The following is a 10,999-nucleotide window of genomic DNA, read 5'->3' as shown; positions in this document are numbered from 1 at the left end:
TACACAGCCCCTCACGACGAAGCATTATCCAGCCCCAAATGTCAATAGTGCTGAGGCTGAAAAATCCTGGCTTAAATTAATGCTCAGTACATTATTTAATTTTGACTTGCTTATAAATTTATATCACATGAAAACAAACTCAAAGATAACATACTGTTTTTCACTTTTGAAAATCATGAATGTTAGGCATATGATAATTTTAATAACAAGCATATGATTATTTTATTCCGCTTACTTGTACAACATAATTTGGGTGCCATTTCTTCAGGAGAAAACATTTGTCATTTGGAATGCTCTGTTTCAGTCCTTAAGCTTCTACGTATAATTACAGCATATTATTCATAAACGGAGTCCCCAATGAAAATAGGATTAAGTTCCAAAAGTTTGCTTTTAAGTTAGTTGCTTCTAAGTCTTAGACACTGTCTTGAATAAAATTTTTGTAGAGATTTGATATTCCCTATTAAGTTTTAAGGGCCTTTCCCACTCTGACTTCTACTCTTTCCTCCCTGACTAATTTGACCTGCAAACTCTCATCTTAAAATAGTACCTCTCACATATGTGTAAGTTTTCATTACAGATTGTTCTATTATTGAATAATTTTTAAAATATTTTAAAATTAAAATAAACATCAAAATTTAAACCATTTGAAGTTTAGGAGTTTTTGTAGTCACAAATGCTTAAAAATAGTTTTTAATAATTAGAGTTCTAATCTATCAGAAGCAAAAAGGATGAAACATTTACAAGACTATAATATAACATTTGGATCTGCTTTAAAGCCTAAAAACCAGAGAGGTGCCCAGTAGCCAAAAATCAAAACATAGGCTGAACCTGAGAAGACATGTAATCAAAAACTGACCTCTAGTGATGGCTTGTTACCAAAACCCACCATCTAGGTAAAATCAGGCTACAGAAAAGGTAGCTTTAATGTCTTTTCATTGTGGTTATTATGTTACATGGTTATTGGCAATTTATTGTCTCAGCTTCCCTTTTATAAATAATTATTAGTAAAGTGAACAGCCCCAGAGAGATGGGATTCTTAGATTTCAGTGTGTCTAACAATGCAGACACTCGACAGGTTTTAAGGGAACCATCACTAACCTTAATCTTAGCCCTCTTCTCCCAGGCTGACCAATCAAGAGTGTTTGATTTTAGGAAATAAATGTTAACTGACTAAATGAGCTGATGCTAATCAACATTAACTGGAAGAAAAAAGAGAACTGATATTAAAGAGCCAGCACAAAGTTCAACAATTGGCATTTGTTTAAGCTACATAAGTAAAACCAGTTTGCATTTGAAATTTCTGTGAGCATTTAAAAAACTAGCTCATGGCATACTACTGTGAATATTGTCCTTTGCATATTCATGTAAGTACCAATTACAAAAACCTATGGGTTTTTAAATCAATATAAAAAATTGGCCGGGCGCGGTGGCTCATGCCTGTAATCCCAGCACTTTGTGGCCAAGGCAGGCGGATTGCCTGAGGTCAGGAGTTCGAGACCAGCCTGGCCAATAGGGTGAAACCCCATCTCTACTAAAAATACAAAAATTAGCTGGGCATGGTGGCAGGTGCCTGAAACCTGAAACCCCAGCTACTTGGGAGGCTGAGGCAGGACAATCACTTGAATTCAGGAGGTGGAGGTTGCAGTGAGCCAAGATCACATTGCACTCCAGCCTGAGTGACTAGAGTGAAACTCCATCTCAAAAAAAAAAAAAATTATCTGTGTAATCATAGTTTAGGGGGTCTGGGAAGCTGGTGAGGAATAGAAGCTATGTTAGTTTCCTACGGCTGCTGTAAGAAATTACCACAAACTGGGTGGCTGAAAACAACAGAAATCATTTCTATCACAGTTCTGGAGGTCAGAAGCCCAAAATGAAGGGGTTGGCAGGGTGGATTCTTTCTGGAAGCATTGAGGGAGAAACCATCCCATGCCTCTGCCAGAGCTTCTGTTGGTTGTTGGCAGTCCTTGGTGTTCCTTGGCTTATAAATGCAGCCAATCTCTGCCTCCATCTTCACATTGCCTTCTTCTCTATGTGCCTGTGTCCAAACCTCCCTCTCCTCTCTCTTATAAAGATACCAGTCAGTGGTCTTAAGGACCACCCTAAGTCCAGGATGGTTTCTGTCTTGAGATCCTTGACTAATTACATCTACGAAGCCTGTATTTCCAAATAAAGGCGGACACAGATACTTTGAGGGGGAACACTATTCAGCCCACTACATGGGCATTCTGTGTGTTTAAGGGTAACACACTGTAAAGAGGGTTTTGGGGGTCTTTGGGGGGAAGTTTCTTTGTTTTTTGAAGAGGGATGGATTTGCCAGTTATTGAGTTTAAAGTGAAAATCCAAATTATTTGAGGGAAATTCAGGTGAAAGTCATTTTGTATTAATAATTGGGGAAAAATTTCCTTAGTTATATACCCGGTTTACTGGTTTAATAAGCACTCAACCTAATTGAACTTTTCCTGCAATTTCTATATATCATATATTTATCACCATTATCAAACTACTTGATTATAAAACCCCATAATAGTACTTGATAAAAGAACTTCAGCCAAATTAAATTTAAAGGAGTTTAATTGAGCAATGAACCATTCATGAATCGGGCAGCCCCCAGAATCACAGCAGATTCACAGAGACTCCAGGGGTGTCTTGTGGTCAGAACAAATTTATAGACAAAAAAGGTAAAGTGAGGTACAGGAATTGGAAATGAGGTACAGAAACAGTGAGATTGGTTACAGCTCAGCATTTGCCTTATTTGAATGCAGTTTGAACATTCAGTAGTCTATGAGTGGTTGAAGTATGGCTGCTGGGATTGGCCACCACTCAGCTCCTGTTACAGGTGCATAGTTATTAAGTCAGGTTTTCAATTTTGCTTATTAAGTTAGATTACAGTTCATCCACAAAGACTCAAATATAGAAGTACGGAGTCTTTCTCAGGCCATATTTAGTTTGCTTTAACACGCTTAACATTTTTATAATACTTCACTTTTTAAATTTTGCATTTGATTAAAAGTTCTAATTTAATATAAGTTTTGCAAAGCATCATCTCTTTGAAGATCTTTTTTTATGCTACATGTTACCCATAATAGAAAAATAAAAACCAGAATATCTCACCTCCACTGGTTCGTTATACTCTCCTATCTCCTCTCCTCCTACCATTTATTATCAATTCTTTCTTTTTCTTTTTCTTTTCTTTTTTTTTTTTTGAAACAGTCTCACTCTGTAGCCCAGGCTGCAGTGCAGTGGGGTGACTTCAGCTCACTGCAACCTCTGCCTCATGGGTTCAAGTGATTCTCCTGCCTCAGCCTCCCAAGTAGCTGGGATTACAGGTGACCACCACCACACCTGGCTGATTTTGTATTTTTGATAGATGGGGTTTCACCATGTTGGACAGGCTGGTCTTGAACTCCTGGCCTCCAGTGATCTGCCTGCCTCAGACTCCCAAAGTAGCTGGGATTACAAGTGTGCGCCACCACACCCAGCTCATTCTCAATTATTTTACCACTTAAATGTGCACGTTTCTAATGTTCCCTTGGCCCTCTCTGCTATTAACTCTAATACTTTCTCTGTGTACAATGTTACTTGTGCTAGGACCACTCCCAAAGCTCAATCTCTAGCCCAGACCTCTCTCCTAAGCTCCAGACTCTTGCAGCCAACTGCCTGCTGGTCATTGCCCTTGAGATATCCACAAACATTTCAAGCCAAACATGAGAAAATTCTCTACTACCCTCCTTTTAGCTGTAGCAAAACACTGGATGTTTCTTGAATGTATGGAGCAATTCCATACTTCCTTGCCTTTCGCATGCTTTTCCTTCAGTCTAGAATGCTCTCCCTGCTCTACCTTTTCTTTGCAAGCTTATGTTCATCCTCTAAGGTGTAGCTTTTGTCTCTTCCTCTGTGAAGTATTCTAGGAAGCCTTGTTCAACTCTTATTTCCTCAAGCTTAGCACAGTGTTGGCACATAACAAATGCTAAATAAAAGTTAGCTAGATCAATAAGCAGCAGCCACTGTGGAAGAAGACTGGACTGAATCCTGAGTCTGGCTGAATACCCTTGGGATAGTTCAACTATAAAAAATATGGAGACAATAACTATTTAACAGGCCATTGTGAAGAGGAGAAGAGAATTTATGTAAAGAATATAGCCCAGAGTCTAGCCCATCATAGGTTTTAAAAAATGCATCTGACTTTTGGCAAGGGTGCGAAAGCAATTCAATGAAGGAAAGATAGTCTTTTCAACAAATGGTACTAATACAGTTGGACATCTGTAGTCAAACAAAAATGAACCTCAACCTAAGTCTCACAGATTTTTACAGTAAAGTCAGGATGGAATACACAGTTACGTGTAAAACCATAAAACTTTCAGAAAAAAATAGGATAAAATCTCCAGGACCTAGGAATAGTCTTGACACCAAAAGCGTTATTTTTTTACCTTATTTATGTTGAAGGACTAAAAAAGCATTATTTATAAAGGGAAAAACGGATAAATTAAACCTTGTCAAGAAAAAAAAAAGGCCAGGTGCTGTGGCTCACTCCTGTAATCCCAGCACTTTGGGAGGCCAAGATGAGCGGATTACTTGAGGTCAGGAGTTCGAGACCATCCTGGCCAACATGGTGAAACCCCATCTCTACTAAAAATACAAAAATTAGCTGGGCATGGTGGCAGGCGCCTATAATCCCAGCTACTCGAGAGGCTGAGGCAGGAGAATCGCCTGAACCCAGGAGGCAGAGGTTGCAGTGAGCCAAGATTGCACCACTGCACTCTAGCCTGGGCAAAAGACTGAGACTCCGTCTCAAAACAAGAAACAAAACAAAACAAAAGCAAAAAAAAATTTAGCTCTGCAAAAGAGTCAATCAGTTATATATATATAAATTTATGTATATTTAAGAAATATATAAATATTTAAGAAAATATTTAAGAAATATTTTCTTATTTTTTTAAGAAATACATATTTAAGAAATATATATATATTTCTTAAAAATTCTTAAAACCTAACAGCAAAACAAAATTCAAATAGAAAATGGGCAAAAGGTATAAAGAGACGTTTCACAGAAGAGGAATATAAGCACATGAAAAGATGATCAACATTATTCGCCATTAAGGAAGGGAAAATTAAAACTCAATGAGACAACACTACATATCTATAAGAAAGCCTAAACAGGGCTGGGCACAGTGGCTCATGCCTGTAATCCCAGCAGTTTAGGAGGCCAAGGCGGGCAGATTGCTTGAGCTCACAAGTTCGAGACCAGCCTGGGCAATATGGCGAAACCCCATCCCTGCAAAAAATACAAAAATTAGCTGGGCATGGTGGCATGTGCCTGTAGTTTCAGCTACTCAGGAGGCTGAGGTGGGAAGATGGCTTGAGCCTGAGAGGCAGAGGTTGCAGTGAGCTAGGATCCAGGATTGTACCACTACACTCCAGCCTGGGCGATAGAGCCAGACCTTGTCCAAAAAAAAAAAAAAAAAAATGCCTAAAACGAAAAATAGCGATAATATCAAAATCTGGCAAGGGTGGGGAAAAACTGTATTATTCATACATTGCTGCTGAGAGTATAAAATGATATAGTCAAACTGGAAAACAGTTTGATGGTTTCTTTAAAAAACCTGTAACTACCATATGGTTCTACCATTTATACTCCCAGGCATTTGTCACAGAGAAACAAAATGTATGTTCACACAAAAACCTGTACATAATTGTTCATAGTAGCTTTATTCATAAGAGCCAAAAACTGGAAACAGCCCATATGTCCTTCAACAGGTGAATGGTTAAACAGACTGTTATACATGCTTACCATGGAAGACTACTCAGCAATGAAAATGAATGAACTACTGAAATACTCAACAACTTGGATCACTCCCCAGAGAATTATGCTAAGAGGGAAAAGCCAGTCTTAAAAGATTACATACTTACTATTCCATTTACGTAACATTCTCTTTTATTTGTAGAAATGAAGGTCTCATTATGTTGTCCAGGCTGGTCTCAAATTCCTGGCCTCTGGTGGTCCTCCTGCCTCAGTCTCCCAAAGTGCTATAATCTATAATTATAGATTATATAGCTATATATACATTATACATTATATTTAATATATAATGTATATATATAAGTATATGTATTATTATATATATTTATAATGTGTATATATATAGTTGTTGTTGAGACCAAATCTCCCTATGTCACCCAGGCTGGAGTGTAGTGGTTCAATCTCGGCTTACACCAACCTCCACCTTCTGGGTTCAAGCAATTCTCCCACTTCAGGCTCCCAAGTAGCTGGGACTATAGACATCTGCCACCATGCCCAGCTAATTTTTGCATTTTTAATAGAGACAGGGTTTCACCATGTTGGCCAGAGTAGTCTTCAACTCCTGGCCTCAAGCAATCCGCCTGCCTCGGCCTCCCAAACTGCTGGGACTACAGGCATGAGCCACTGCACCTGGCCCACTATATAATATTCTTGAAAAAATGAAATTATCAAAATAGAGAACAGATTGGTAGTTGCCAGAGTTTGAGGAGGGGGTGAGGGTAAAAGAGATGTAGCTGTGGCTATAAAAGGCCAACCCGAGAAATCCTTGTGGTGATAGAAATATTCTGTATCTTGATTACATCAATGTCAATACCCTGGTTATGATATTGTACTATAGTTTTGCAAAATATTACCCTTAGGGGAAACTGGGTAGAGCCTACAGGGGGGGATCTCTCTGTATTATTTCATACAACTGCATGTGAATCTCCAATTATCTCAAAATAAAATGTTTAATTAAAAAAATAAGCCTGACAGGTGTAGTAAAATAGTAATGGTAGACTCTAGGTGGTAGATGCACAGGTAAGTACATAAAATTCTTTCAAATTTGCTGTTTTTTTAATGTTTCTTTGTAAAATTAGAAAAAAAAAGTTAAGTATTGTAATTATTCTGAGACTAAGTCCCTCACTCTCACAATCTAAAAAATAAAAGTAAGGTACATTCGGTACATTCAGCTTACTGAAAATATTCATTATTGCCTCTTTTCCTGTGGCATAAATTTTTCAAATGAATTGCCTGTAGATTAAGAAAGCAATTTCATGAAATCATTTCTTATCAGTGGAAGCAAACATTGAAGGTTCAGGATGCCATCCTGAATTTGGGATAAAGAGGTTTTTCATCTTCCTTACCCCACACCTCATCTTTAGTCAGTGTTTTCAACATTTATTTGGCATGTTAATTGTCAAATTCCCCTTTCAAGTGATCTTTTTATCTGATAGAGTGTCCAAGGTACTCTAAAGATTGCATTGCTGGCACACTCTACTGTTAGGTGACAGTTTAGGCACTACATCCCTCTGTAGTGGCTTTTGAGTAGACGACAAATTGTAGGAATTTATAGCATTAACTCAAAAATTTTAGAAAGCCTCAGGGAACAATTAATTTCAGGGTTTAAACTTGTCAGACCTGAAAAGTAACTATAAATTCATATTGATGATTACAGATTCTTTGTTTCTTAATCTCCACAATGGGCTCAAGAGTCCAAAAGCATAAATCATGCCACCTTAGGACAGTAAGAATAGTTACTTTCTGTGTAATATTTCAGTTTACACACCACCTTGACATGTATTACCTGATTTAATCACTTTAATAACTCGGAAGAAGGTTCTATTATTCCTGGGTTTTTTGTTGTTGTTGTTTTTTGAGATGGAGTCTCACTCTGTTGTTGCCCAGGCTGGAGTGCAGTGGTGCAACCTCCACCTCCCAGGTTCAAGCGATTCTCCTGCCTCAGCCCCCCGAATAGCTGGGACCACAGGCGCACGCCACCATGCCCAGCTAATTTTTGTATTTTTTAGTAGATATGAGGTTTCACCATATTGGCCAGGCTGGTCTCAAACTCCTGACTTCATGATCCGCCCACCTCGGCCTCCCAAAGTGCTGGGATTACAGGTGTGAGCCACCGTGCCCAGCCTGTTCCTGTTTTAAGGTGAAGAAACAATGGCTTAGGGTAAACTGATACATCTGAAGTCACAACAACAAGAATTAGAGCTGAGACTTAACTGTAGGTCTTTTGGTTCTGAGTTCAATGATTCTGGTGGGAAAGAGTATCCTCTGAGAGGGGATGCTAAAATGACTTCCCTGTGGGAATGAAGGTACCAAGAGAAGCAAGGAAAACAGAAGCCCCTTTATAGAGAGAAAGAGGGAGTCCTCTGTGAACATCAAGTCCCTCTCATTTTTCCCTCCCCATTCATTTTCCTGGATTATCCTACTAATCCTTAATTTTATTTGAGATGAGACCTTTACACAGAAGCCTTTCCAGACCATCCAAGGTTAAGTGCCCTTCCATAAGACTCAAGTTTTAACATTATTATAGTGTTTATCACTCTCTGTCTTAGTCTGTTTGGGCTGCTATACCAAAATGTTATAAACTGGGTCATCTATAAACAACAGAAATTTATTTCTCACAGTTCTTGAGGCTGGGAAGTCCAAGATCAAGGTAGCAGCAGACTTGTTGTCTGGTGAGGGACTGTGTCCTCAAAGACAGCTATTACCTCACATGGGGAAGAAGCAATGTATCTCTCTGGGTCTCTTTTTATAAGGATGCTAATCCCTTTCATGAGGACTCTGCCCTCATGACCTGATCACCTCCCAATACCCAAGGTATTGGGTATAGGTATTACCCCCTGATTCCATCACCTTGGGGGTTAGGATTTTAATATATTAATTTTGCAGGGACATAAACATTTGGTTCACTGCATTCCATATTATTTCCTATTTGTATAATTCCTGCACTGAAGTGCAAGCTGCTTGAAGATGGATATTTTATCTTATTCATTGGCATGTCATCAACACCTAACAGAGTGTCTGGCTTTCTTAGGCAGTCAGAATATACTTGTTAAAAGGAAGGAAAGCATTGTGAATATTCTGTAGGAGTTGAAATAGAAAAAAGATACTGGGTTTTGACCACATGCCAACAAAAAGAGCAGTTAATAGATTGAACGAGAGAAATAGGGAAACAAAATGTGCCAGTGGCAAAAGCCTGCTTGCTGACATTTATACATTAAACATTGATGTTCCTGTCTTTTTAAGTGCCAAATTTGGAATCTGTACATTACTTGGACTCTGTACATCATCTGATTAATGAGCATTTCCAGATATTACATTACCTTGCTGCTGGTCAGCAAGCACTCAGTTCAGTTAGTTGAATTGTGCTATTAGTAGTATATTGCATGTTCTGATTATTCATTCAGAACTTCCTCTAAACTTTTCAACACCAACATCTCATGGTCTGACCACAACTTTCTTTTCAACTCCCTTATTTCTGTGTCTTGATTCCTTTTTCCTTCCAATCTATCTTCCATCTTCAACCCTTTCTCTGTCTAGTCTAAGCCATGAACAGCCTCTCAACCCCTTCTGTCTTAATCCTTGTGTCTTAAACTACATAACAAAATTACATTCCCACTAACAGGTTTCCCAATGCCTATATCAGGTTGTCAAGAGTTGCTAGAGAGAAGCCAGGTGTGGTGGCTCATGCTTGTAATACCAACACTGGGAGGCCAAGGTGAGTAGATTGCTTGTGGCCAGGAGTTTGAGACCAGCCTGGGCAACATGACAAAACCCCTTCTCTACTAAAAAAAAAAAAAAAAAAGCCAGGCATGGTGGTGCATGCCTGTAATCCCAGCCTCTTGGGAGGCTGAAGCACAAGAATTGCTTGAACCCAGGAGGCGGAGGTTTCAGTGAGCTAACATCGTGCCATTGCACTCCAGCCTGGGCCACCAAGCAAGACTCTGTCTCAAAAAAAAGGGGAGTTGCTAGAGAGAAATCACAAAATGGTCCAGAGTGTTGCCCCTGCAAATCTCTACTTTCCAACCTCAACTGGACCTCTGCACCACCCAATAGTTTTCCTAGGATCACACTCCTCCCAGAGCAGCTTTTGCAACTGTTGTCACTTTCCTCAAGTCCTCTTTTTTTACATTCCCACCCTCACTCTCAGCAAAGACATTTCCTTCTTTTTCACTGAGAACATGGAGAGCATCTTGTTTCCAACATTCTCTTTTCCTGCAGTATCTGCATCTCCTTCCATTTCTCAGTGAAACAGAGTTTCTCCCATCCAAAGTTACTCCTGCTGCCTGTACTTTGAATTTGCGAGCTGCCACCTCCTTCAGTCCTTTCCTCCCTTGATTTCCCCTCTTTTCCCTGATGTAGTCCTTCGCCTCATTGTCTTTAGCTGACATATTTATGTTTACGTAATTTAAAAAAAAAACTCTAATAGCAACAGAAACTTCTTTAATACACTTGCATTGCAAACTAGTTCCATATCTCTTTCTTTTATTTCACAATCAAGCTTAGACAAAGTTGTCTACACTCACTGTTTATGTTTCCTGGTACTGACAATTGCTGGTTTCCAAATCATTCACAAATTTTTATTATTCCAAATGCTAGTACGATTGGGAGGCCTATTTATTTATTTATTGTGAGAAATATAATTCAAGAAGAATGGAATGTTTGCATCAATATGATCCATTTATTCTGGAGACAAAGTGTAGCATATTGTTTAAGCTTGTAGACTATGTATTTAGAACTGAGTAGCTCACTATTTATGTGATCTTAGGCAAGTTAATTTACATGTCTGAGCCCCAGTATTTTTATACGAATAAAATAGGTAAGCAATAATGCCTACTTTATAGGGTTGTTTTGAAGATCAAATTGATGCAGGCAAACCCAAAAATTGGGGCTCTTGGCTTCAGGTAGGAAGGAAAGAATTCAAGGGTGGTGACAGAGTAAAGTAAAAGCAAAGCAAGTTTATTAGCACAACAGAGAACAGGAAAATGGCTGCTCCATAGACAGAGCAGGGCTACCCCATTGGCAGAGTAGCACTCATGGATTGCTGACTAACAATATTTATAGCTAATCCTTAATTATATGCTAAATAAGGGGTGGGTTATTCACAAATTTTCTATGAAAGGGATGGGGAGTTCCTAGAACCAAGGGTTCCTCCCCTTTTAAACCATATGAGGGACACATTTTTAAGCAGTAAAGTGCTCAAAA

General features: G+C 38.8%; 1 long non-coding RNA gene across 1 annotated transcript in view, besides 2 other annotated features; it reads left to right on the top strand.

The window, feature by feature from the left end:
• NNT-AS1 (NNT antisense RNA 1) overlaps positions 1–10,999 on the top strand; it is a 30,046-nt gene that overhangs the window by 1,485 nt on the left and 17,562 nt on the right. The gene's annotated exons all lie outside the window — the stretch shown is intronic.
• Positions 373–542: an enhancer, noted in NCBI's record as "experimental_85301 CRE fragment used in MPRA reporter constructs". NCBI's record gives its function as "activates a minimal promoter by MPRAs in K562 erythroleukemia cells, with activity observed for the non-introgressed 5:43601391 or rs35826690 variant allele {active_cell/tissue: K562}" and the evidence as "EXISTENCE:reporter gene assay evidence [ECO:0000049][PMID:34662402]".
• Position 457: a transcriptional cis regulatory region, noted in NCBI's record as "Neanderthal adaptively introgressed variant 5:43601391 (GRCh37/hg19 assembly coordinates) or rs35826690 in the experimental_85301 CRE". NCBI's record gives its function as "modulates activity of the experimental_85301 enhancer by MPRAs in K562 erythroleukemia cells {active_cell/tissue: K562}" and the evidence as "EXISTENCE:reporter gene assay evidence [ECO:0000049][PMID:34662402]".

This window comes from Homo sapiens, chromosome 5 (assembly GCF_000001405.40).
Source record: "Homo sapiens chromosome 5, GRCh38.p14 Primary Assembly".
Classification (NCBI taxonomy): Eukaryota; Metazoa; Chordata; class Mammalia; order Primates; family Hominidae; genus Homo; species Homo sapiens.
This window is presented reverse-complemented; position numbering and strand designations above follow the sequence as displayed.